The sequence below is a fragment of the Homo sapiens genome, chromosome 10 (assembly GCF_000001405.40).
Source record: "Homo sapiens chromosome 10, GRCh38.p14 Primary Assembly".
NCBI lineage: Eukaryota > Metazoa > Chordata > Mammalia > Primates > Hominidae > Homo > Homo sapiens.
The window spans coordinates 68773234-68800876 of NC_000010.11; the positions used below are offsets into that span (position 1 = coordinate 68773234).

The following is a 27643-nucleotide window of genomic DNA, read 5'->3' on the forward strand; positions in this document are numbered from 1 at the left end:
AAAGTTTTTCTGATTTTTAGGTGAGAAGATTGTTTGAAGACATATTTATTACTAATTATCCTATGTCTCATATATAATTAATACTCAATTTGGCGGAACAAATTTCCCGGAACATGGTGCCTAAGCTGTGCCATAAAAGCTATAATAGGACAGGCATGGGGGCTCACACCTGTAATCCCAGCACTTTGGGAGGCCAAGGCAGGTGATCATTTGAGGTCAAGAGTTCCAAGTCCAGCCTTGCCAACATGGTGAAACCCCATTTCTACTAAAAATACAAAAATTAGCCAGGCGGTAGTGGCGCGTGCCTATAATCCCAGGTATACTCTGGAGGCTGAGGCAGGAGAATCACTTGAGCATGGGAGGCGGAGGTTGTGGTGAGCCAAGATCGTGCCATTGCACTCCAGTCTGGGCAATAGAGTGAGACCCTGTCTCAAAAAAAAAAAAATGTATAATAGTCCTTGATGTTTCATATACTAATTTTTTATTTTTTTAATTGAGACAGGGTTCTCACTGTATTACCCAGGCTGGAGTACTGTGGCATGCTCACAGCTCACTGCAGCCTCAGCCTGCCAGGCTCAGTATGATCCTCTCACCTCAGTCCCTGGAGTAACTGGGACTACAGGTGCTTGCCACCATTCCTGGCTAATTTTTAAATTTTTTTTTTGTTGTTTTTTTTTCAGACGGAGTCTTGCTCTGTTGCCCAGGCTGGAGTGCAATGGCATTATCTCAGCTCACCGCAACCTCCGCCTCCCGGGTTCAAGCGATTCTCCTGCCTCAGCCTCCCAAGTAGCTGGGATTACAGGCATGCACCACCACACCCGGCTAATTTTGTATTTTTAGTAGAGATGGAGTTTCTCCATGTTGGTCAGGCTGGTCTCGAACTCCCCACCTCAGGTGATCCACCTACCTCGGCCTCCCAATGTGCTGGGATTACAGGCCTGAGCCACTGTGCCCGGCCTAATTTTTAAATGTTTCATAGGCACGGGGTCTCATTCTGTTGCCCAGGCTGGTCTTGAACTACTGAGTTCAAGAAATCTGCCCACATCACCTTCCCAAAATGCAGGGATTATAGGCGTGAGCTACATACGTGTTCTAAATATATTCTTTAGAAAACTAATTTGGGGCTGGGTGTGCTGGCTCATGCCTGTAATCTCAGCACTTTGGGAGGTCAAGGCGGGTGGATCACCTGAGGTCAGGGGTTCAAGTCCAGCCTGGTCAACATGGTGAAACCCCATCTCTACTAAAAATACAAAAAATTAGCCGGGCACGCGCCTGTAATACCAGCTTCTGGGGAGGCTGAGGCGGGAGAATGGCTTGAACTCGGGAGGCAGAGGTTGCAGCGAGCCCAGATTGTGCCATTGCACTCTAGCCATGGCAACTGAGGGAAACTCCATCTCAAAAAAAAAAAAAACTAATTTGGGCATTTTGTTTAACAAAGACTATCATAATGCAAAAGAGTACATATAGAGTTTAAAGGCTAATAGTAATAAACACCCATATACCTTTCGCCTAAGTTTTATAAGACAGACTTTGTTAACCATGCGGTGACATTTAAAATACAGTAGATGCTCTGACCGTAGACATCAACGATCAAATACCTCAAAAGTGCCTCTGAATACCTTACCTGTTCTTTTCTAGGTAGATTTGTGGCTTTTTAAAAAATTATATTTTTCTGATATAGAAAATTATAAGAGTTCTTTTTGTTTTTTTTTTTACAGTTTGTGTCTCTGGCAATTACTTTTATTTACGGTATATTTTGTTTGCCTCTACATTTTCTTCTCTCTACCATATCAGTTTTTAATATTGTTTAATGAAAAAGTTGAAAAGATCAAAAAGTTGATAGTGCAGTGAACACCTGTGTATCCATCAACTTTGATTCAATAATTGTTAATATTTGTCTTGTTTTGTTTTTGTAACCCAGTTTAACATATGAATTCTTCAGTTTGCCTAAGGAAAAAACATGCTCTGAAATAACCACAATTCCATAATCACACCTAAGAAAATAAGGTCGTAATAGCATCTATTATTACTATGTAATATCTCCTCTTATTTGCTTTAATATAGTAACTCATTAGCAGTGACATAATATTCATACAGCAGTGTTTATCTTCATTACTTGCTTTACTTAATGAAGACTTAAGCCCTTTTTACAGCCCCATTTTCTCTCCCCTGTACGCCCAGTATTATTTTATTGCTGCTTTAGTTGAATCATTAAATAGTATTCTCATTATTTTGTTAGTGTTCCAGCTGTCAGCCTCATTTTCTTTTTTTTTTTTTTTTTGTTTTTTGTTTTTTGAGACAGAGTGTGGCTCTGTCACCAGGCGGGAGTGCAGTGGCACAGTCTCGGCTCACTGCAACCTCTGCCTCCCGGGTTCAAGCGATTTTCCTGCCTCAGCCTTCCGAGTAGCTGGGACTACAGACATTTGCCACCACGCCCAGCTAATTTTTCTTTTCTTTTTTTTTTTTTTTTTTTTTTTTTTTGAGATGGAGTCTCACTCTGTTGCCCAGGCTGGAGTGCAGTGGCGCAATCTCAGCTCACTGCAACCTCTGTCTCCCAGTTTCAAGCAATTCTCCTGCCTCAGCCTCCCAAGTAGCTGGGATTACAGGCATGTGGCACCACACCTTGCTAATTTTTGTATTTATGGTAGAGACGGAGTTTTACCATGTTGGCCAGACTGGTCTCGAACTCCTGACCAGGTGGTCCTCCCGTCTTGGCCTCCCAAAGTGCTGGAGTTATAGACATGGGCCACTGCGCCCAGCCTAATTTTTGTATTTTTAGTAGAGATGGGGTTTCACCATGTTGGCCAGGATGGTCTTGATCTCCTGACCTCGTGATTTACCCGCCTCAGCCTCCCAAAGTGCTGGGTTTATAGGCATGAGCCACTGACCCCAGCCCAGCCTTAGTTTATTTTTTCCTCTCACTCCTTTAATGTTGGTTTCATCCATTCTCCTAGCTTTAAATGCTGTCTATATACTGTTAATTCTCAAATTTCTAATTTTCTTTTTCTTTTCTTTTCTTTTCTTTTTTTTTTTTAAGAGATAGGGTTGGACTGGGCACAGTGGCTCACATCTGTAATCCCAGCACTTTGGGAGGCCAAGGTGGGTGGATCACCTGAGGTCAGGAGTTCGAGACCAGCCTAGCCAACATATTGAAAACCCCACCTCTAGTAAAAATACAAAAAATTAGCTGGGCGTGGTGGCGGATGCCTGTAATCCCAGCTACTTGGGAGGCTGAGGCAGGAGAATCACTTGAACCCAGGAGGCGGAGGTTGCGGTGAACCGAGATCACGCCATTGCACTCCAGCCTGGGCAGCAATAGCAAAACTCCGTCTGTAAAAAAGAAAAAGATAAGGTCTGTCACCCAGGCTGGAGTATAGTGGTATGGTCATAGCTCACTGCAGCCTGAAACTTCTAGGCTTAAGCAGTCCTCCTCCTCAGCTTCCTGAGTGGCTGGGACTACAGGTGCATGCCATTGCACCCAGCTGTTTAATTTTTTGTAGAGATGGGGTCTCAGTATGTTGCCCAGGCTGGTCTTGACCTCCTTGGCTTCAAGCAGTCCTCTGCCTTGGCCTCCCAAAAGTGCTGGGATTACAAGGATGTGCCAAGCCTCAAATTTCTATCTCATATCAGACTTCTCTCCCAGTCTCTCATATTGAACTGTCTACTTGACACCTCCACTTAGTTATCTGGCATTTCAAAATCAGTATATCTGAAACTAAATTCCTGCTAACCCCTTCACCAGAAAGAAAACATACACAAATCCTACAACCTTAGCCTTTGCCAACCATCTCATTTAATGACAATTCCATCTTTCCAGTTGTTGAGACTAAAACCCAGGAGTCATCCTTGATTCCTTTCTTTCTGCAGTACCCTACTTCCGATCTATCAGGAAGTTATATTTGCTCTGTTTTCATAACTTATCCAGAATCAGTCCACTTCTTACGAATTCCACTAATTTGACTATAATGCAAGCCACATTATCTCTTGCCTAGATTATATTAATAGACCCCTAACCTGTTTACGTGTTTCCTCCCCTCTACAATAAAGTTTCTCAATACAATTGCCAGAATGATCTTCGCAAAATTTAGAATTTATTTCATTCTTTTGTTCAAATTCTTCCAGTGTATCCCCATCATTTTTACTTCATAGAAGAAGCCACTGTTCAGGCTGGGCATGGTGGCTCACGCCTGTAATCTCAGCACTTTGTGGGAGGCCGAGGCGGGTGGATAATTTGAGGCCAGGAGTCCCAGACTAGGCTGGCCAATATGGTGAAACCCTGTCTTTACTAAAAATACAAAAAATTAGCTGGGCATGGTGGCGCGCACCTGTAATCCCAGCTGCTCAAGAGGCTGAGGCGTGAGAATCACTTGAACACAGAAGGTGGAGGTTGCAGTGAGCTGAGATTGCACTACTGCACTCCAGCCTGGGTGACAGAGCAAGACTCCGTCTCAAAAAAAAAAAAAGCCACTGTTCAGATCACTTGAGCTCAGGAGTTCAAGACCAGCCTGAGCAACATGACGACACCGTGTCTCTACAGAAAATAAAAAATGTATCCGGGCTTGGTGGTGCATGCCTGTAATCCCAGCTACTCAGGAGTCTGAGCTGGTAGGATCACTTGAGCCCGGGAGGCGGAGGTTGCAGTGAGCGATGATCACACCACTGCACTCCAGCCTCGACAATAAAGCAAGACCCTGTCTGAAAAGAAGGCCGGGTGCGGTGGCTCATGCCTGTAATCCCAGTACTTTGGGAGGCCAAGGCAGGCGGATCACAAGGTCAGGAGTTCGAGACTAGCCTGACCAACATGGTGAAACCCCTTCTGCTAAAAATACAAAATTAGCTGGGTGTGGTGGTACATGCCTGTTATCCCAGATACTCAGGAGGCTGAGGCAGGAGAATCACTTGAACCCGGGTGGCAGAGGTTGCAGTGAGCCGAGATTGTGCCACTACGTTCCAGCCTGGGTGACAAAGCAAGACTCCATCTCAAAAGAAAAGAAAAGAAAAAGCTAGTGCTCACAATGACTTACAAGACTCTACCACGTCATGTCTCCAGTTACATCTCTTAACCCCTCTTCTTGAGAAGAGTGGACCCCTCACATATGCTTCTATGTTAGGAGATTTACATTGGCAGTTCTTTCTGCTAGCAGGGTCTTTCCTGGAGATCCACCTTCCTTAGTTTCTCATATATGAAGTCTGTTCAAGTATCACTTTGTCAGTGAAGCCTGCTGTGCCCCCTACTTTATTTAAAATTGCAATCCCCCGCCCTCCCTTACTGCACATTTCTGGTCTCTTATCCTCTCCTTTTTTTTTTTCCATAGAATTTATGACCTATTTTATTACATACTCTTTATTTTGCTCATTGCCTGTCTCCCTCTACCCCTACACTTGAATAAAAGCTGTTATGTAAGAAAAAGAGATTTTTATCTGTGTTCTTTGTTAATATATATTCCAAGTTCCTGGAACAGTCTAAATAATTAAATAGGCTCCAAATATATGTTGATAGGATTATAGTTGTTTTTTGTTTGTTTCCCTGGAGTTTCCAATTGCTGCTTGCTTCTGTTTTACCACTTTTTTTCATATTTTATATCTCATGATCCTGTTAAGTTTCCTGGAGACTACTCTTTTTTTGTTTGTTTTTTGAGACGGAGTCTCGCTCTGTCACCAGGCTGGAGTGCACTGGTGCGATCTCAGCTCACTCCAACCTCCGCCTCCCGGATTCAAGCAATTCTTCTGTCTCAGCCTCCTGAGTAGCTGGGATCACAGGCCCACGCCTGGCTAATTTTTTTGTTTTTTTATTAGAGATGGGGTTTCATCATATTGGCCAGGCTGGTTTTGAACTTCTGACCTTGTGATCCGCCTGCCTCGGCCTCTCAGAGTGCTGGGATTACAGGCGTGAGCCACTGTGCCTGGCTGAGACTACACTTCTTAGAATACAAAAGCAGAATTATAACATGAAAATACAGTATCAGTAAATGTATTAAATGGTGTTGAATTTTGTTAGTAATTAGGAGAGCAGATAACAATAAGATACTTTTTTTTTTTTTTGAGACAGAGTTTTGCTCTGTCGCCCAGCCTGGAGTGTCGTCGCGTGATCTCGGCTCACTACAACCCCTGTCTCCCAGGTTCAAGCGATTCTCGTGCCCTCAGCTTCCTAAGTAGCTTAGATTACAGACATGCACCACCATGCCCGGTTAATTTTTGTATTTTTAGTAGAGACAGGGTTTCACCATGTTGGCCAGGCTGGTCTCGAACTCCCGACCTCAGGTGATCCGCCCACCTCAGCCTCCCAAAGTGCCGGGATTACAGGCGTGAGCCACCACGTCCGGCCTATCTTTTTCTTATCAAGTTAATGAAAATTAAATTTTTAAATGAAAGGTAACACAGTTTAACAAGGGTAAAAGGAGTTACACTTTCATCACTCTTCTTTGGGACTATACATTGTTATACCTTTTCTGAACAGAAATTTGGAAATGTGAATTAGCCATATCCTTTAAAATATCAACATGAGTGATCATTCCATAATTTATTATAAAACAAAACTATGGAATCAATCTGAATAGGAATAGAGAATTATTAAATTGTACTTTGGTAATATAGTCATGCAGTTAAAATTCTGTGCACCCATTGAAGAAAACTTGGAGAAGTGTAGTGACATGGAAAAAGATTTTTAAAGGGTTTTTGTAGATAGCATGTTCTATAAATAAATTTAGTGTTGATAAGTGTGTATATATGGGGAAAAAATAGGACATGATCACTACTCTCATTTTGTGTGGTGGGATTGATTTATTTTCTGTGATGAATAAATACTACTTGAATATTTCAAAAGTTATTTCAAAAATACAAGTTTCGGATGAGACAGTTTTGAAAGTGACACCTCTCAATATAAATACCCAAATAATGTGGATTATATTGTGAGTATTTTTCAATCATCAAAAATAAGTAAATGACTAGGTTCCAAGGAGAAGTTCCCTCTCATTCTTTCTTTTTCAAGACAGTCTTATTCTGTTGCCCAGGCTGGGCAGTAGCACGCTCGTGGCTCACTGCTGCATTGAACTCCTGGCTCATGTGATTCTCTCACTTTAGTTCCCTGAGTAGCTAGGACTACAGGTGTGCACCACCACACCTGGCTAATTTTTAAATTTTTTATAGAGATGTGGTCTCACTATGATGCCCAAGCTGATCTCAAACTCCTGGCCTTAAGCCATCTTCCTGCTTCCCTCCCAAAGCGATGTGATGACAGGTATGAACCACCACACCCAGCCATTAGAACATTTGCTTAATTTTTTATTTAATAACACCTTTATTGAAATGTAATTCACATACCATACAAGTAGACACTTTATAGGCATGCTTTGTTTTTTTTGCACTGCACTTTATTGTGCGCCAAAGATAGTGCCTTACGCCAAGCAAGCCTATCAGCACCACTTTTCCAACAGCATGTGCCACTTTGACTTTCTTTCACATTTTGGTAATTCTTACAGTATTTCCAGCTTTTTCATTATTACTATGTCTGTTTTGGTGATCTGTGATCAGTGATCTTTGATAATACTATTATACATGTTTTGGTGCACCTTGAATTGTGCCCATAGAAGATGACGAGCTTAATTATAAATATTGTTTGTGTTCTGATCACTCTATCAACCTGCCATTCCCCTATCTCTGTCCCTCTTATTGGGCCTCCCTATTCCCTGAGACAAAACATTGAAATTAGGCCAATTGTGCCAGGCACGGTGGCTCACGCTTGTAATCCCAGCACTTTGGGAGGCTGAGGCGGGTGGATCATTTGAGGTTAGGAGTTTGAAACCAGCCTGGCCAACATGGCGAAACCCTGTCTCTACTAAAAATACACAAAATAGCCAGGTGTGGTGGTGTACGCTTGTAATACCAGCTACTCGGGAGGCTGGGGGCATGAGAATTGTTTGAACCAGAGAGGCGGAGGTTGCAATGACCTGAGATCACGCCACTGCACTCCAGCGTGGGTGACAGAGTGAGACTCTGTCTCCAAAAAAAAAGAAAAGAAATTAGACCAATTACAGGTGCGGTGGCTCATACCTGTAATCCCGGCACTTTGGGAGGCTGAGGTGGGCAGATCACCTGAGATCAGGAGTTTGAGACCAGCATTGCCAACATGGTAAAACTCCGTCTCTACTAAAAATACAAAAATTAGCCGGGCGTGGTGGCGGGCACCTGTAATCCCAGCTACTCGGGAGGCTGAGGCAGGAGAATCACTTGAACCCAGGATGCAGGTTGCGGTGAGCTGAGATCATGCCATACGCTCCAGCCTGGGCAACAGAGCAAGACTCCGTCTCCAAAGAAAAAAGAAATTAGGCCAATTAATAATTAGGCTGGGCTCAGTGGTTCATGACTGTAATACCAGTACTTTGGGAGGATAACGAGGTGGGATCACTTGAGGCTAGGAGTAAAGACCAGCATCTGCAACATAGTGATACCCCATCTCTACAAAAAAAAATAAAATTGGTGTGGTTACATGCCCCTGTGGTCCCAGATACTTTTAGAGGCTGAGGTAGGAGGATCTGTTGAGCCCAAGAGGTTGAGGTTGCAGTGAGTCATGATTGTGCCACTGTACTCCAGCCTGGGCAACAGGGCAACACTCTGTCTCAAAAATAATAATCATAATAACAAAGAAAAAACCCAAAATGGCCTTGGAGTGTTCAAGTGAAACCTAAAAATCGTTAAAGTGAGTGAAGAAGGCATGTTGAAAGTTGAGATAGGCCAAAAGCTAGTTTTTTTGGCGTCAGTTAGCCATGTTGTGAATGCAAAGGAAAAGTTATTGAAGGAAACTCAAAGTGCTACTCCAGTGAACATGCAAATGGTGAGGAAATGAAACAGCTTTATTGCTATAAGGAGAGAGTTTTAGGGGTCAGAATAGAAGGTCACACCAGTCACAACATTCCCTTAAGGCAAAACCTAATTCTGAACAAGGCCCTAACTCTCTTCAATTCTATAAAGGCTAAGAAAGATGAAGAAGCTATAGAAAAAAGTTTGAGGCTACCAGTGGTGGATTCATGAGGTTTAAGGAAAGCAACCATCTCCTTAAGGTAAAAGTACAAGGTAGTTGCTGAGGTGGGAGGATTGCTTGAGCCCAGGCATTTAAGGCTGCAGTGAGCTATGATTACGCCACTGCACTCAAGCCTGGTTAACAGAGCAAGACCCTGCCTCTTGGGGGCGGGTAAAAAAAAAAAGGCACATTGAAACAGCAAGTGCTTATGTAGAAGCTAAGATCATTGATGAAAATGGCTATGCTAAGTAAATTTTCAATGGAGACAAAACAGCCTTCTTCCATCGGCTGAAGATGCCATCTTAAGACTTTCACAGCTAGAGAAGAGCATTCAGTGCCTGGCTTCAAAGGACAAGTTGACTTTCTTGTTAGGGCTAATGCAGCTTGTGACTTTAAGCTGAAGCCAGTACTCATTTACCATTCCAAAAATCTTAAGCCCCTTAAAAATTATGCTAAACCTACCGTACCTGTGCCCTAGAAATTGAACAAAGTGAGAATGACAATTGTTTACAGCAATGCTTTACTGAATTTTTTTTTACTCCTTTATCATGTAACCGACGTTTTTACTAAATATTTTAAGCCCGCTGTTGAGATCTGCTCAGAAAAAAAGATTCTTTTCAAAATATTACTTCTCACTGACACCACACCTAGTCACCCAGAGCTCTGATGGAGATGTACAAGGAGATTAATGTTTCATGGCTGCAACATCTATTCTGCAGCCCTTGGATCAGAGAGTAATTTCACTTTACTCTTTTTTTTTTTTTTTTTTTTGAGACAGGGTTTCACTCTGTCATGCAGGCTGGAATGCAGTGGCGTGATCATGGCTCAATCCAGCCTTGGACCTCCTGGCCTCAAATTATCTCCCACCTCATCCTCCCAAGTAGCTGGGATTACAGGCATGAGCCACCATGCCCAGCTAAATATTTATTTATTTATTTATTTTTATTTTTTATTTTTTGAGACGGAGTCTTGCTCTGTTGCCCAGGCTGGAATGCAGTGGCACGATCTTGGCTCACTGCAAGCTCCGCCTCCCAGGTTCATGCCATTCTCCTGTCTCAGCCTCCTGAGTAGCCACCACCACGCCTGGCTAATTTTTTGTGTTTTTAGTAGAGACAGGATTTCACCACGTTAGCCAGGATGGTCTCGATCTCCTGACCTCGTGATCTGTCTGCCTTGGCCTCCCAAAGTGCTGGGATTACAGGCGTGAGCCACCGTTCCTGGCCTCATCCATGTCTTTCTGAAGTTCTAGGATCTGGTCCAGCCCTGGGGATATCCCATACTCTTGAGTGCTGAGGAAGGCACGAGGTCAGGAGTTCGAGACCAGCCTGGCCAACATGGTGAAACCCCAACTCTACTAAAAATTCTCATGGATGACTTTGAAGGGTTCAATAATTCAGTAGAGGGAATAACTGCAGGTATGATAGAGCAAGAGAACTAAAATTAGAAATGCAGCCTGAAGATGGGATGGAACTGCTGCAATATCAGGATAAACTAAACTGATGATTGTTTGCTGCTTTTTTTTTTTGAAGATGGAGTCTTGCTCTGTCGCCCAGGCTAGAGTGCAGTGGCGCGATCTCAGCTCACTGCAAGCTCCGCCTCCTGGGTTCACGCCATTCTGCCTCAGCCTCCTGAGTAGTTGGGACTACAGGCGGCCGCCACCACGCCTGGCAAATTTTTTTTATGTATTTTTAGTAGAGACGGGGTTTCACCATGTTAGCGAGGATGGTCTCGATCTCCTGACCTCGTGATCCGCCCACCTCAGCCTCCCAAAGTGCTGGGATTACAGGCGTGAGCCACTGCGCCCGGCCAATTGTTTGCTTCTTATGGATGAGCAAAGACAGTGTTTTTTTGAGATGCAATCTGCTTCTGTGAAGATGCTGTTAACATTGTTGAAATAACAAAGGATTTAGAATATTATGTAAACTTAATTAAGCAGTGGCAGGATTGGAGGGGATTGACTCTATTTATATATTTATTTATTTATGAGATGGAGTCTTGCTCTGTCGCCCAGGATGGAGTGCAGTGCCGTGATCTCGGCTCACTGCAACCTCTGCCTCCCGGGTTCACACAATTCTCCAGCCTCAGCCTCCTGAGTATCTGGGACTACAGGCACACGCCACCACACCCCACTTATTTTTGTGTTTTTAGAGATGGGGTTTCACCATGTTGGCCAGGCTGGTCTCAAACTCCTGACCTTAAGTGATCCATCTGCCTCGGGCTGCCAAAGTGCTAGGATTACAGGCGTGACCCACCATGTTCGGCGATTGACTCTAATTTTAAAAGAGGTTATTCTGTGGGTCAGATGCTATCAAACAGCATCACATAGGGTCTCACTTTTCACCCAGGCTGAGTGCAGAGGTGCAGTCATGTCTCATTGCAGCCTCAAGCTCTGGGACCCAAGTGATCCTCCCACGTCTGCCTCCCAAGTAGCTGGAACCGCAGGCATGCGCTACTTAGTCTGACTCATTTTTTAAATTATTTTTGTAGAGACCGGGTCTCATTATGTTGCCCAGGCTGAGGCAAGATCCTTTACCAGCAAAAGGATTACTGCTTGCCAAAGGCTCAGGTGATTGTTAGTGTTTTTAGAAATAAAGTATCTTTTAATATATGTACTTTTTTAAGGCATAATGCTATTATTGCACACTTGATTATAGTGTGAACATAACTTTTTTTTTTTTTTTTTTTTGAGATGGAGTCTCGCTCTGTCACCCCGGCTGGAGTGCAGTGTCACAATCTCGGCTCACTACAAGCTCCGCCTCCTGGGTTCACGCCATTCTCCTGTCTCAGCCTCCCGAGTAGCTGGGACTACAGACGCCGGCCACCATGCCAGGCTAATTTTTTGTATTTTTAGTAGAGACGGGATTTCACCGTGTTAGCCAGGATGGTCTCGATCTCCTGACCTCGTGATCCGCCCACCTCGGCCTCCCAAAGTGCTGGGATTACAGGCGTGAGGCACCGCACCCGGCCCTATAACTTTTTTTTTTTTTTTGAGACAGGGTCTCGCTTTGTTTTCCAGGCCAGAGTGCAGTAGCATGAACATGGATCACTGAAGCTTCACCATCCCAGGCTCAAGTGATTCTCCCATCTCAGCCCTCTGCGCAACTGGGACTACAGGCGTGTGCTACCATGCCTGGCTAATTTTTGTATTTTTTTGTAGAGATGGAGTTTTGCCATGTTGCACTGGCTGGTTTAAAACTCCGGAGCTCAAGCGATCCACCTGCCTCAGCCTCCCAAAGTGCTGGGATTACAGGCATGAGCCACTGTACCTGGCTGTAAACATAATTTATCTACTGGAAAACCAAAAAATTTGTTTGACTAGCTTTATTGCAGTACTTGCTTTATTGGGGTGGTCTTGAACCAGAGCCTTCAGTAACTCCCAAGTTGTGCCTGTATGCAAGTCAGTGGTTTTTAATATATTCAGAGTTGTACAACCATCACCACAATTAACTATAGAACATTTTTATCACCCTCATACCAAGAACCCAAAAGAGATTGATTAGCAGCCATTCCCCATCTTCCCTGAACCTCTTCAGTCCTAGGCAACCATTAGTCTGCTTTTTGTTTCTGTAGATATTCTGGACATTTCTTATAAATGGAATAACACGATAAGTGATTTTTTTGTGACTGGCTTCTTTTACTTAGCCTGTTATCAAGGTTCATGTATGTTTTAGCATAAGGTTTTCTCTTTATGTTTTTGTTGTTGTTGTTTAAAAGACAGGGTCTTGATCTGTCACCCAGACTGGAGTGCAGTGGTATAGTCATAGCTCACTACACCCTCGAACGCCTGGCCCTCCTGAGTAGCTGGGATAACAGTCATGTGCCACTGTGCCCACTTGAAAGTATGTGTATTAATGACTTTTTTGCCACTGTTATATTTATTTTACAGATAGGGATGAGGAAGAAATGACCAAACGAGATGACAAAAGAGATATCAACAGATACTGCAAGGAGAGGCCCTCTAAAGATAAGGTGTTTATTGAATACTGTATTCTTTATAATATGGTGATATCTTACATCATCTAAACATAACACAGTTGTGAAGTTTATTAGTCCTTATACATCTTTATTACCACTAAGTAAAATTCTGTCAGTTGTTTTTTTGTGGCTATGTCAGATAACTAGTATGTCTGATTCTTTTCTCTCATATTCGTATACCAGATAAACTCATTTTAGCTAGGATGAGGCAAATATCTTATTAGATTATTGCTATCTTATGCACAGTCTCCGTTTCTCACTTTTTGGGGGTAAAAAATTTGAAATTTGAATACTATGTTTTCTACTTCTCCATTTTCTTAGGAAAAAGAAAAGACTCAAATGATCACAATTAACAGAGATCTGTTAATGGCTTTTGTTTATTTTGATCAAAGTCATTGTGGTTACCTTCTTGAAAAGGATTTGGAAGAAATACTTTATACTCTTGGACTACATCTTTCTCGGGCTCAGGTAATCTATCTTGTGAATATTTAAAAGGAAAACATTTTTTAAAAGTTACCTTTCCAGTGAAAAGTTAATAGAACCTCTGTTGACTTTTTGATATATTAAAGCAATATAAGGGCCAGGCGTGGTGGCTCACACCTATAATCCCAGCAGGTTGGGAGGCTGAGGCGGGCAGATCAGTTGAGGCCAGGAGTTTAAGACCAGCTTGGCCAACATGGCGTAGCTCCGTCTCTACTAAAAATGCAAAAATTAGCTGGGTGTGGTGGCACACGCCTGTAATCCCAGCTACTCGGGAAGCTGAGACAGGAGAATCTCTTGAACCCAGGAGGTGGAGGTTGCAATGAGCCAAGATCACGCCACTGCACTCCAGCCTGGGTGACAGAGTGAGACTCCATCTCAAAAAATAAAAATAAAGCAATATAACACAAGCCAGTTGTAAAACACTTCCCTTCTCCCTCTCCCTCTGTTTCTACTCCTTAGGACTACAATATATAAAATTCTAGATCTTTTTGTAAGCAGCTCAGTTCCATTTTTATAAACAAAACGTGGAATTATTCTGTACGTTTTGACTGGCTTTTTTTTTTTCATTCCACAGTATTCTATAGATACATTCACCATGAAAATAGAGACCTGCCTCATTCTTTTTATAGCTGCACAGTACCCATTATACAGATGTACCATAATTTACCTACCTAGTCTCCATTGCTGGTGGTTTTCATTTATTGGATTTACCAACTATGCTGTAATAAATCATCCCTGTGCATAAATTTTTATCAATGTTATACTTTTTAACAATGAAGTTTTTTTTTTCAAAAGTAACTTGGATCTTACTCAATTCCATGGATTTCCATCATAAGTGAAAATTACAGCTGGGCATAGTGGCTCACACCTGTAATCCCAGCACTTTGGGAGGCGGAGGAGGGTGGATCACCTGAGGTCAGGAGTTCAAGACCAGCCTGGCTAACATGGTGAAACCCTGTCTCTCCAAAAATACAAAAATTGGCCAGGCATGATGGCGGGTGCCTGTAATACCAGCTACTCTGGAGGCTGAGGTAGGAGAATCGCTTGAACCTGGGAAGTGGAGGTTGTAGTGAGTCGAGATCACACCACTGCACTCCAGTTTGGGCGACAAGAGCAAGACTCTTTCTCAAAAGAAAGTGAAAATTATATCATAGTTTTTCTAAGAGAATCAAGAAATGTATTTTCATCTCTGTATTTTGTTTACTTGCATGCATAACAGGTAAAGAAGCTTCTTAATAAAGTAGTGCTCCGTGAATCTTGCTTTTACCGGAAATTAACAGACACCTCAAAAGATGAAGAGAACCATGAAGAGTCTGAGTCATTGCAGGAAGATATGCTAGGTCTGAGTAATATTAAGATTTTGCTTTTTAATAAATATACTAGTAATTAAAGAAGAAAAATAACTTACTAAAATATGGTATATTTTATATTATAGGAAACAGATTATTACTTCCAACACCAACAGTAAAGCAGGAATCAAAGGATGTGGAAGAAAATGTTGGCCTCATTGTGTACAATGGTGCAATGGTAGATGTAGGAAGCCTCTTGCAAAAATTGGAAAAGAGCGAAAAAGTAAGAGCTGAGGTAGAACAGAAGCTGCAGTTACTAGAAGAAAAAACAGGTAAGGGTCAGCTTTGAATATGTTAATACTTTCAGCACCCTGCTGGGACACGTATATGTTTATGTGTGTACATACATATATACGTACCTGTGTACACATTTGCATATGCATACCAGATATTTTCATCGAAGTACATAAGGAACTTTTTAAAATTTTTTATTATTTATTTGTTTTTAAGACAGGGTCTCACTCCGTTACCCAAGTGGAGTGCAGTGGCACAATCTCAACTTACTGCAACCACTGCCTCCCGGATCCAAGTGATTCTCCCACCTCAGTCTCCCAAGTAGCTGGGATTACAGGCATGCGCCACCATGCCCAGCTATTTTTTGTATTTTTAGTAGAAATGGGGTTTCACCATGTTGGCCAGGATGGTCTCAAACTCCTGACCTCAAGGGATCACCCACTTTGGCCTCCTATAGTGTTGGGATTACAGGCAGGAGCCACCATGCTCTGCAGGGACCTTTACTTTTCACTATTTCTGGTTCAGGTTATAAAATTGCTTAGCTTTATCTGAATCTTAGGTCTTCCTGTGTATTCTCAGGTTCATTGTTACCTGTTGCATCCTTTTAATCATCTTCTGGTTCCACTTTTTTTTTTTTGAGACAGAGTTTTGCCCTGTCACCCAGGCTGGAGTGCAGTGGGGCTATCTTGGCCCATTGCAACCTCCACCTCCCAAGTTCAAGCGATTCTCCTGCCTCAGCCTCCCAAGTAGCTGGGACTACAGGTGCGTGTCACCACGCCTGGCTAATTTTTTGTATTTTTAGTAGAGACAGGGTTTCACCATGTTTGCTAGGATGGTCTCGATCTCCTGACCTCGTGATCCGCCCACCTCAGCCTCCCAAAGTGCTGGGTTTACAGGCATGAGCCACTGCGCCTGGCCTCCACTTAGTTTTTACCAGTCTGTGTTCTCTAATCTATACAGTCATCTAAAAATAGAACATAGGTTTTGAAATAATACAAGTTAAAAATTTAAATGAAACAGGCCAGGCATGGTGGCTCCCGCCTGTAATCCCAGCACTTTGGGAGGCCGAGGCAGGCAGATTGTTTGAGGTCAGGAGTTCGAGACCAGCCTGACCAACATGGTGAAACCCCGTCTCTAAAAATACAAAAATTAGCTGGGTGTGGTGGTACGCGCCTGTAATCCCAGCCAAGATCGTGCCACTTCGCTCAAGCTGGCGCAACAGAGTGAGACTCAGTCTCAAAAGTAAATACATAAATAAATGAATATTGCAGTGTGCTTTATGACTAATGAAATTGACAGACATTGCCATTTTATGGAATTCTATCAGCTTTTTATTTTCACAGCTTAAATATTTTAACCTCAAAGTTAAATTTGAAATTTTAGGAAGTAAAATGTTAATTTTTGGATTTTTTTAAACAGATGAAGATGAAAAAACCATATTAAATTTGGAGAATTCCAACAAAAGCCTCTCTGGTGAACTCAGAGAAGTTAAAAAGGACCTTAGTCAGTTACAAGAAAACTTAAAGATTTCGGAAAACATGAATTTACAATTTGAAAACCAAATGAATAAGACAATCAGAAACTTATCTACGGTAATGGATGAAATCCACACTGTTCTCAAGAAGGTGAGAAATTTTGTACTTTTAACATTTTCTTAGTTTTAAAAATCTAACTCTGGTGTTTTTAATGTATTTTAATGTTATTAAGCTCTTAGTGATTATTCTAAAAGCAAATAATGATAGCATTGTGACCTTCCTGAGATTAGTAAAAAGTGATTCACAGGCTGGGCACAGTGGCTCACACCTGTAATCCCAGCACTTTGGGAGGCCAACGCGGGCGGATCACCTGAGGTCAGGAGTTCAAGTCCAGCCTCGCCAACGTGGTGAAACCCCATGTCTACTAAAAATACAAAAAAAATTAGCCAGACATGGTGGCGGGCACCTGTAATCCTAGCTACCCGGAAGGCTGAGACGGGAATCACTTGAACCTGTGAAGCAGAGGTTTCAGTGAGTCTAGATTGCACCATTGCACTCTAGCCTGGGCAACAGAACTAGACCCCATCTTAAAAAAAAAAAAAAAAGTGATTCCCAAAAGATGTTGTTTTTCTAAATCTTAGTTGGAATGTCAACATGATTTAAGTATACAGACTTCTTGAAGCAAATTTCATTTTTATTTCTTTTTAATCCAGAGTATAAATTTGAATTAAACCATTCACTTCACTTCTCTGTGTTTTTTTTGTTTTGTTTTGTCTTTTTGAGACAGGGTCTTGCACTTTTGCCCAGGCTGGTTTGTTAGTGGCGCTATCTTGGCTCACTGCAGCCTCTGCCTCCTAGGCTCACGTGATCCTCCCACCTCAGCCTCCTGATGAGCTGGGACTACAGGTGTGCTCCAGCACACCCAGCTAATTTTTATATTTTTTTTAGAGACAGGGTTTCAGACCGGGCGCGGTGGCTCATGCCTGTAATCTCAGCACTTTCGGAGGCCAAGGTGGGCGGATCACGAAGTCAGGAGATTGAGACCACAGTAAAACCCCGTCTCTACTAAAAATATAAAAAAACTGCGAGACTCTGTCTCAAAAAAAAAAAAAAAATAGAGACGGGGTTTCACCATCTTTCCCAGGCTGGTCTCCAACTCCTGGGCTAAGCAGCCCACCTATCTTGGCCTCTCAGAGTGCTGAGATTACAGTCATGAGCCACCACACCTGCCCCATTCACTGCATTTTTAGACCCCATTTATTCTTGGGCAGAATTGAGGTAAATGCTTCGTCACCATTAATTTTAAGATACTAAAATTAATTTATTGTTCTTTATCACTAGAAAAAAGTATACCAAACTGAATACCATTGTACTCTAAAATCAAAGTAACATTTAAGATAATCTAATAAAATGTATTTTTTCCTTCTCTATTGTCTTATAGGATAATGTAAAGAATGAAGACAAAGATCAAAAATCCAAGGAGAATGGTGCCAGTGTATGATAAAATCCATGTAGTGATGAGGAATGGTGTTAAATAATGTAATATATAAAAATCATGATATAAGAATGTTTGAAGGTGATGCATGTTTGATTTTAGTAGTATAAATGTATTTTAGTTCAAATGATGTATAAAGTTTTATGAATGTGAGTTTCTGCTTTTGAAAATTGCTTGTAATTCCTAGCCTTCAAATTATTAAACACTCCTTGAGTGAAATAATTTTGCATTGCAAAGTGTTTTAGGATGAACTTTGTTATAGTTTTAACTCCAATAAAGTTCATCAGTTTAATTGACTGTAGTATTTAATTACCAAATTTCTTTTATTAAAATGCCTAGAAATTTTTAATTTATAGAATTATTAGGTTTTAAAATTTTTAGTTCATCTGTTAAAATTTCAGTCAAAATCATAAAATAGCATGATGCTTAATTTTTGCAAGTTTTTTGAAACTTTTTGTTTTTTTTACTCATCACCAAAAAATCCCCTCTTGATCAGTCTCTAAAAGCATTCATTAAAAATTCAGTTCAGGCCGGGCACGGTGGCTCACACCTGTAATCCCAACACTTTGGGAGGCCGAGGCAGGTGGATCACCTGAGGTTAGGAGTTCGAGACCAGCCTGGCCAACATGGTGAAACCCGGTCTCTACTAAAAATATAAAAATTAGCTGGGCATGGTGGTGGGTGCCTGTAATCCCAGCTACTTGGGAGGCTGAGGCAGGAGAATCGCTTGAACCCAGGAGGCGGAGGTTGCAGTCACTCAGGATCATGCAGCTACACTCCAGCCTGGGCGACAAGAGTGAAACTCCATCTCAAAAAGAAAAAAAAAAAAAATCAGTTTATTTGAAAGACAGTATATCAGAAAGAAAGAAGCAATAGAGAACTAGTATTGTTCTTTATGGGTTAGACTTTACATAATATTAGTTGTCCTGATGTCAATGTTACTGCTTTCAATTAATTTTTCTACTTTCCCAGAATAGCATCTATATTCCTTTTAATTTTGAGGGTTTAAAAAAAAATGCAGTGTATGTCAAATTTACAGTTTAGTACCAAGCCAGTAGATGTCAGTATGATGCCTTAAATTAAGTCTTCTTTAATTAAAGATATTTTTTTAAATTAACCTGTGTACTTCCTTCAGAATTTTAGTGGATACATGAGGTGACTTAACTGTAGAATAAAAACGGTAGTAAATATGAGTGGTTCTCAACAGAGGGTGAATTTATCCCTTAGAGGACATTTGGCAGTGTCTAATGAGGTTTTTTTGGTGTCACAACTGGGTGGGTGCTGCTGGCATCTAGTTGGTAGAGGCCAAAGATATCACTAAACATCCTTTGTTGCAGAGGATAGCCCTCTACAACAAGGAATTATCCAGCCAAAAATGTCAATAGTGTCCAGTTTCAGAAACCCTGCTCTAAAGGAATGTAAAGTTAAATGACATTTTGTCTTCCAAGTTTTACTAGTGAAAACTTAATGGAATCCATTACTGGAATGTTTCACTGTCATATAAATATATGGTGTATTAGAGTTTTGTTTTATTTTGTTTTGAAACGGAGTCTCGCTCTGTCACCCAGGCTGGAGTGCAGTGGCTTGATCTCGGCTTACTGCAACCTCTGCCTCCCAGGTTCTAGCGATTCCCCTGCCTTAGCCTCTCAAGTAGCTGGGATTACAGACGTCTGCCACCATGTTCAGCTAATTTTGTATTTTTAGTAGGGATGAGTTTTCACCACATTGGCCAGGCTGGTCTCGAACTCCTGACCTCAGGTGATCCACCCACCTTGGTCTCCCAAAGTGCTGGGATTACAGGCATGAGCCACTGCACCCGGCCTAGAGTTTATTTTATTTCATTTTGTTTTATTTTATTTTGTTAGAATAATGGCTAGGTGTTCCAAATAGATGAATATGAAAATGTAAAGTGCCATTTATATGTGACTTACGCTAAATGGAATTCACATGGCTATTACTAAAAAATGGATTATAATACCTCAAATTCTTTTAGACCAATTTTTGTCTTAAGTTACTGTTGGTGGTCATATGGCTTGTTAACCTTCTCCAAAACCAGATTAGAGATTGATCTATAATTATTACATAATTATGATATAAATATTTCCTTCATCTTTAAGGTGAGATGAAACAGTTGTTGAAAATGGTTTTTTTCCTTCTTTCTTTTTTTTTGAGATAAAGTGTTTGTTTCCCAGCCTGGAGTGCAGTGGTGCCATCTAGGCTCACTGCAATCTTTACCTCCCGAGTTCAAACAATTCTGGTGCCTCAGCGTCCTGAGTAGCTGGGATTACAGGCATGCACCACCACACCGGCCAAGTTTTTTGTATTTTTAGTAGAGATGGGGTTTTGCCATGTTGGCCAGGCTGGTCTTGAAACTCCTAGCCTCAAGTGGTCTACCCAGCATGGCCTCCCAAAATGTTGGGGTTACAGGCGTGAGCTACCGTGCCTGGCCCACAAAGTGTTTTTTTTTTTCAAGGGACAATCTTGAAGATAAACTTTTAACTAAAAGACAGTGATGATAGTAAAAGACAGTAATGATAGAGTTCCTTGAAAAGAGTATATTGTTAATAAGAAACATTATATAAAGTACATTTGTGAGACTTTTTTTCCTCCAGATAAATTTAAATCAGAATAAAATTGGGATGACAGAGAAAAAGACTGAACCTTTCAATCACATTGTTACTTAGGGGTAAATTTCTTATAAAATAATATCTTTGGAAGTACAAATTGAGATGACTAAGGAAAAAAGCAAGTTGCACACAGAAAAATTGATTTTGGCCGGGCACAGTGGCTCATGCTTGTAATCCCAGCACTTTGGGAGGCCAAGGCAGGCGGATCATTTGAGGTCAGGAGTTCAAGACCAGTCTGGCCAGCATGGTGAAGCCCCGTCTCTACTAAAAATACAAAAAAAAATTAGCCAGGTGTGGTGGTGCATTCCTGTAGTCTCAGCTACCTGGGAGTCTGAGGCAGAAGAATGGCTTGATCCCGGGAGGCAGAGGTTGCAGTGATCCAAGATCGAGCCATTGCACTCCAGCCTGGGCAACAGAGCAAGAAAACTTACTTTTTTTTTTTTTTTAAGGTACCTAAATAGGTATTGTTGGCAATTCCAGAGGAAAATAATTGTATATTCATTCAGTGGATGGCTGGGTCTAGGCCACATGAGTTTCTCTGATCTGGGTGATAAATGACCCTTGAGAGCCTTAGCTATAGATCTAAATACTGGCTAGAATTGTCAAAAAATATTACAGTGGTTACTGTATGTTTTGTTAGGGATTTACGTGATACTGAAGGGCTTTCAGAGCACTCTGACGTTAACATACATAGAGTAGAATGGACACTCCTTCCCTACTTCTTTTGATGAAGCCTCTTGATAGCACGGCATGCCCTTTATTTTTAATCAGTCATTTGCAGTCCACAAGTTAACACTGACGTGGCTTTGAATTTTTTTGTGGGTCTGAGATAATCTGAGGTTGTTTTCATTGTCAGAAATTATGTAAGTTTTCTCCTAGTGATGTGACATCCTATAGATTGTGAATCAAAGCAGGCATCATCACATACCAGAAGCATGTAGAGATTTTAGGCAAAGGACTGAAATGTACACAGTAGCCTAGGTGCGGTGGCTTACGCCTGTAATCCGAACACTTTAGGAGGCCAAGGCGGGCGGATCATGAGGTTAGGAGTTCGAGACCAGCTTGGCCAATATGATGAAACACCGTCTCTACTAATAATACAAAAATTAGCCGGGCATGGTGGTGCGCACCTGTAGTCCCAGCTACTCAGGAGGCTGAGGCAGGAGAATCGCTTGAACCTGGGAGGTGGAGGTTCCAGTGAGCCGAGATTGCACTACTGCACTCCAGCCTGGGCGACAGAAAAAGACTCCGTCTCAAGGAAAAAAAAAAAAGTGTACACAGTAATTAGAGGCACCATAAAAGGTGCTTTGTAAGGTACAGCACATTTCCTTGTTTGACTGCAATGCAGCTGCTGTGCTATGGGTTATGGAAGGAAATTTTGCCCACTTTAATTCTTCCCACTAATTTTTTTTTTTTTTTTTGGAGGCGGAGTTTTGCTATTGTCACCCAGGCTGGAGTGCAGTAGTGCAATCTCGGCTCACTGCACTCTCCGCCTCCCAGGTTCAAGCGATTCTCCTGCCTCAGCCTCCTGAGTAGCTGGGATTACAGGCGCTCACCACCACGCCCAGCTAATTTGGTATTTTTAGTAGAGATGGGGTTTCATCATGTTGGCCAGGCTGCTCGCGAGCTCCTGAACTCAGGTGATCCACTCACCTCTGCCTCCCAAAGTGCGGGAATTACAGGTATGAGCCACTGCGCCTGACCTCTTCCCACTAATTTTATGTTCAGATTATTTTGGAGTTAAAAATATTGTGTAAGAACACAAATTATTTTTGTTAAATGAGGCTTAGTGAAATGGTGAGAATTTTTCAGGATTCAATATTAATATAGTTTACTGCCGTATTTAATATTTTTGTTTTTTATAAAAGAGCTCCAAATTTGTGAGTGATTTACTCTTGTTTTAATTATTATTTTTTTTTTTTTGGGGGGGGAGACAGTATCTGGCTATGTTACCCAGGCTGGAGTGCAGTGGCACAATCTCAGTTCACTGCAACTGCCACCTCCCGGGCTCAAGTGATCCTTCCACCTCAGCCTCCTGAGTAGCTGGGATTACAGGTGCATGCCACCATGCCTAGCTAATTGTTTTTGTATTTTAGTAGAGACAGGGTTTCACCATGTTGCCCAGGCTGGTCTCAAACTCTCTGAGCTCAGGTGATTCACCCACCTAGGACTCCCCAACTGCTAGAATTATAGTCATGAGCCACTGCACCTGGCCCATGCCTAATTTTTCTATTTTTGGTAGAGACGGGGTTTCCCCTTATTGCCCAGGCTACTGGAACTCCTGAGCTCAAGCAGTCTGCCTGCCTCAGCCTCCCAAAGTGCACAGATTATAGGTGTGAGCCATTGCACCCAGCCTCTATTTTATCTTTTATTCATAGGATGGGTGGGCCAGGCACAGTGGCTGAGGCGCTACTCTGGATGCTGAGGCAGGAGGATCACTGCATCTCAGGAGGTGGAGGCTGCAGTGAGCTGTCAGGGTCTCGCTCTGTTGCCTGAGCTAGAGTGCAGTGGCACAATCATGGCTCATGGCAGGCTTGACCTAGATCTAGTGATCCTTCCACCTCTGTCTCCCAATATGTAGCCAATAACTTACTGTCTAAACTGGGAACCTTTAGAGAGAAAAGAAAGGTGCCAGGAATAACTACGTCATAACACGAGATATAACCAGGAGGCAAACTGGAACATAGAGTTACTGCCTATTTATCATTCATCTTGTGGATAATATTGACCTGCGTTTGGTGTTCACTAGTTAAAAAATGAGCCTCAGGCTTACACATGAATGAAGATTAAGTTTAGAGTCCCAGAGTACTTTTGACATAAATTATGCACTTGGTTTTTCTTGTGTGTATAGAGGGGTGGAGTACTACTTAAGTACTGAGTCAGCTCCTTATTAATGGTGGTCTGAATGTGATCATTATGCCTAATCTAATGCAGGTTCTCAAACAAGTATGTGTCTGAATCACCAGGTCTGGGTTAGGGCCTAAGAATTTGCATTCCTAACAAGTTCCCACGTGCTGCTGCTGCTATTGCTGGTCTAAGCAAACCCACTTGGAGAACCTCCTAACTAAGGTGTTCTAATTAGGGAAAACTTAGAGCAGTTTTCCCTAGTTAATACGTGATTTTTTTAAATAGAGAAGAGTAAATGGCCTTGGAGACACTACCTGAACCATTAGAGCTTTTTCTTCAGGGATAGATAATCCGGCATTGGGCTGGGCATGGTGGCTTACACCTGTAATCCCAGCACTTTGGGAGGCCAAGGAGCAGAATGCTTGAGTCCAGGAGTTCAAGCCCAGCCTGGGCAGCATGGTGAAACCCCGTCTTTACAAAAAATGCAAAAATTATCCAGGCGTGGTGGCAAGTGCCTGTAGTCCCAGCTACTCAGGAAGCTGAGCTGGCAAGATCGCTTGATGCTTGAGCCTGGGCAGCTGAGGCTGTGGTGAGCCATGATCATGCCACCATACTCCAGCCTGGGCAACAAGGACCCTGTTTCAAAAAAAAAAAAAAAACTACATTGGATAAGCCATAATTGACACTGAAATACTTATTAAATGAATGAATACAAGTCTATACCTGCAGGATAGTCACTTAAATTTTTTATTCTTTTTTTTTTTTTTTTTTTTTTTTTTTTTTTTTTTTTTTTTGAGATGGAGTTTCACTCCTGTTGCCCAAGGTGTAGTGCAGTGGCACGATCTTGGCTCACTGCAACCTCTGCCTCCTGGGTTCAAGCAGTTCTCCTGCCTCAGCCTCCCAAGTAGCTGGGATTACAGGCACCTGCCACCATGCCCAGCTAATTTTTGTATATTTAGTAGAGATGGGGTTTCACCATGTTAGCCAGGCTGGCCTCGAACTCCAGACCTCAAGTGATCCTCCTTGGCCTCCCAAAGTGCTAGGATTACAGGCAGGCAAGATCTGGTCATTTTAAAAAAAGATTTTAGCCCCGGTGCAGTGGCTCAAGCCTGTAATCCCAGCACTCTTGGTAGAGACGGGATTTCTCCCTGTTGCCCAGGCTGGTCTCGAACTCCTGAGTTCAAGTGATTGAGCCGCCTGTGCCTCCCAAAGTGCTAGAATTACAGGCATGAGCCACTGCGCCCAGCCAAATTTGTCATTTAATTTTACCTTCTTTAGGAATATGCAGGATGGGAAATTTTTTTGGGAGGGGGGATGAGAAATATTTATTAAAGTTGGTATGATCTTTTGAAACTGCATATCAGCTGGATGTTGTGGCACAACCAGATATTTCCATATGCTTTAGTTTCTCAGGCAAAAATTATGTCAAAGCTGCTTCTAGTCTCTCATTTTCATAAATACCTTTACTATGTACCAAAGAAGGGAGCCCTATTTTCCCACAAGTCCTTCTGGGATGGTAACTTACCAGAATGATGTATAGCTTTCCCTTGAGGCATATTGGAGTTATAAGGGATAGGAATGAAGGAATTGTAGAGTATGTTGGTAAATAGTTGGACTGATGATAAAGGGAATTATCTTAACTGTGCTGTCCCCCTCCCCAGGGGTGACTAACAGTCCAGAGACCTGCATACAGTCTAATTTTACTATCCAAGTGTCTAATCTGGTAGGTGCTGAGGAAATGGTAGTCCATCCAGTATCCGTATTACTACAAATCACACAGATTATCATCTTAGTTCCAGGGAAGTTTATCCGCTTGAATTACACCTCAGCCAGTGGCAGAGCCATGAAGACACAGTCCAGCCCCCTAAAGTAGAGAGGATTTTGCACTGTTGAGGCTCTAACCACAGAGGAGGCAGGATTCAAGCCTGGGTCCCAAATTCAGCAGACAACTTGGCAAGAGGCCAGGAACTAGCCGGGCGCTGTGGTTTACGCCTGTAATCCCAGCACTGTGGGAGGCCGAGGTGGGTGGATCACGAGGTCAGGAGTTCAAGATCAGCCTGGCCAAACAAGTGAAACCCCATCTCTACTAAAAATACAAAAATTAGCCTGGCATGGTGATGGGCACCTGTAATCCCAGCTACTTGGGAGAGGTAGAGAATTGGTTGAACCCGGGAGGCAGAGGTTGCAGTGAGCCAAGATCACACCACTGCACTCCAGCCTGGCGACAGAGTGAGACTCCATCTCACAAAAAAAAAAAAAAAGCCAAGAACCAAAGTAGAGGCTCATCCATACAGATTTTGAGTGAGGACTAGAGCTTGGTGATGGTGGCATTTCGGATCACACTATATTAAGTACAGTGAAACTAATTGTAAATCCATTGGTGTGGTAAACATTGTTAGGCACAGTTTTGGATTAGCTCAGAGCTTTTATTAATAAAATCTAAGTATTTTAATATATTCAATTAATGTTCGCTAGTGTGAGCCAACTTAATTTCAACTTGAGTGAAATCAAATTCAGAGTAAATCTGGATTTGGAATAAAATAAGAATCTTACTATTCTAGAGATAAACCTTCTGCTCCACAGTTAATTTATTGTTTTCAGACTTGGTCACATTTAGCTCTTGGTTGCCTAGGGCCTCCACTAGTCTGCAGATAAAGATCAACTCAGGAAACTGAGGCCCAGAGGTAAAACTTACGATCCATGAATTTCTTGCTTTCCTGGGCATTCGACATTGATCCAGCAGTACTCTTGCTTATAAGTGAGCTCAAGACCAGTAAACAAAACTAATACTTTTAAAGAGTTCGTGGCTGGGCAACAGTGGCTCACGCCTGCAATCCCAACACTTTGGGAGGCTGAGGTGGGAGGATCACTTGAGGTTAGGTGTTTGAGACCAGTCTGGTCAACATGGTGAAACCCCGTCCCTACTAAAAATACAAAAATAAGCCAGGCATGCTGGTGTGCACCTGTAGTCCCAGTTATTTGGGAGGCTGAGGCAGGAGAATCACTGGAACCAGGGAGGTGGAAGTTTCAGTGAGCCGAGATTGTGCCACTGCAACTCCAGCCTGGTTGACAGAGCGAGACCATGTCTCAAAAAAAAAAAAGAGGCCAGGCATGGTGGCTCACGCCTGTAGTCCCAGCACTTTGGGAGGCCAAGGCGGGCAGATCACGAGGTCAGGAGATCTAGACCATCCTGGCCAACATGATGAAACTGTCTCTACTAAAAAAATAAAAAAAATTAGCCAGGCGTGGTGGTGCACGCCTGTAATCCCAGCTACTTAGGAGGCTGAGGCAAGGGAATCACTCGACCCGGAAGGTGGAGGTTGCAGTGAGCCAAGATCGCACCACTGCACTCCAGCCTGGCAACAGAGCAAGACTCCGTGTTTAAAAAAAAAAAAAAAAAAAAAAGTGTGTTTTATTTAGGAGATCCTAAACTTGTGAATTGTGTGTTAAGAGAAAAAAAAATTGTTCATGCAAAGTGCATGAATATATCAGGAAAGCTTCCTTCCAAGGCTAAAATCTTTTTGTGGTGTAACTAGTTTCTGGCCTAAATCTCATGGGATTTTTTTTCACTCATACTTCTAAGTGGCTATTTTGAAACAGTTATTTTTAGGTATTTAAGCTTTAAAAATGTTTCCAAGCCTAGGTTTAGATATTCTAATTACCTTTTAAATATTTAGCTCTTGGCATTGTTTTACAATGTCGAGAGCAGATGCCTTTCCAATTCAGCAGTTTTAGAACCCATGTGTCCTAGACTCAACATCAAAGAATGCCATATTTTTCTCATCACTTTAATTTTTCTCCTTTATTGCACGACTGCAGTTTCATTATTAACATGTGGTTAAGAGGGTACCTCTTGGTATGAACTTTGTTCTAGGTTCTCAAATTTGGGGGATTAATTTAAATGTCAGAATTAGATTTTTTCAACACCCCCTTTTAAAAAAATTAATTAGCATGAATTTGTATTTTCATGGCCTTTGCCCTGAAAAGTTTTCTGAGCTCCAAAACCAAGTGCAAATTTTGCCTTTCATTACATATATACATACATGTATTTAGTTCCAACAATAATTGATATTGCAGTGTTGCTCTAGCAGTTCAGGCAAATTAAACTTAATATTAAGTTCAGGGAACAACTTTAAGCCATC

The 27643-nt window shown here is 42.1% G+C and overlaps 1 protein-coding gene across 4 annotated transcripts in view, besides 2 other annotated features; it reads left to right on the forward strand.

Moving 5' to 3' along the window:
* Nucleotides 1–19144, forward strand: part of CCAR1 (cell division cycle and apoptosis regulator 1) — a 71139-nt gene extending 51995 nt beyond the window's left edge. For all 4 annotated transcript variants that reach the window (NR_104262.2, NM_001282959.2, NM_018237.4 and 1 more), the window contains 6 exons: nucleotides 12903–12985; nucleotides 13313–13459; nucleotides 14694–14814; nucleotides 14910–15095; nucleotides 16477–16682; nucleotides 17974–19144. Coding sequence is in view for 3 of the 4 variants with exons in the window: in NM_001282959.2 (NP_001269888.1) it covers nucleotides 12903–12985; nucleotides 13313–13459; nucleotides 14694–14814; nucleotides 14910–15095; nucleotides 16477–16682; nucleotides 17974–18033 (803 nt within the window). In the remaining variant the exon portion in view is untranslated. The remainder of the gene's footprint in view (nucleotides 1–12902; nucleotides 12986–13312; nucleotides 13460–14693; nucleotides 14815–14909; nucleotides 15096–16476; nucleotides 16683–17973) is intronic.
* Nucleotides 12204–12373: an enhancer, noted in NCBI's record as "experimental_16884 CRE fragment used in MPRA reporter constructs". NCBI's record gives its function as "activates a minimal promoter by MPRAs in K562 erythroleukemia cells, with activity observed for both the introgressed and non-introgressed 10:70545279 variant alleles {active_cell/tissue: K562}" and the evidence as "EXISTENCE:reporter gene assay evidence [ECO:0000049][PMID:34662402]".
* Nucleotides 19601–19770: an enhancer, noted in NCBI's record as "experimental_16893 CRE fragment used in MPRA reporter constructs". NCBI's record gives its function as "activates a minimal promoter by MPRAs in K562 erythroleukemia cells, with activity observed for the introgressed 10:70552676 variant allele {active_cell/tissue: K562}" and the evidence as "EXISTENCE:reporter gene assay evidence [ECO:0000049][PMID:34662402]".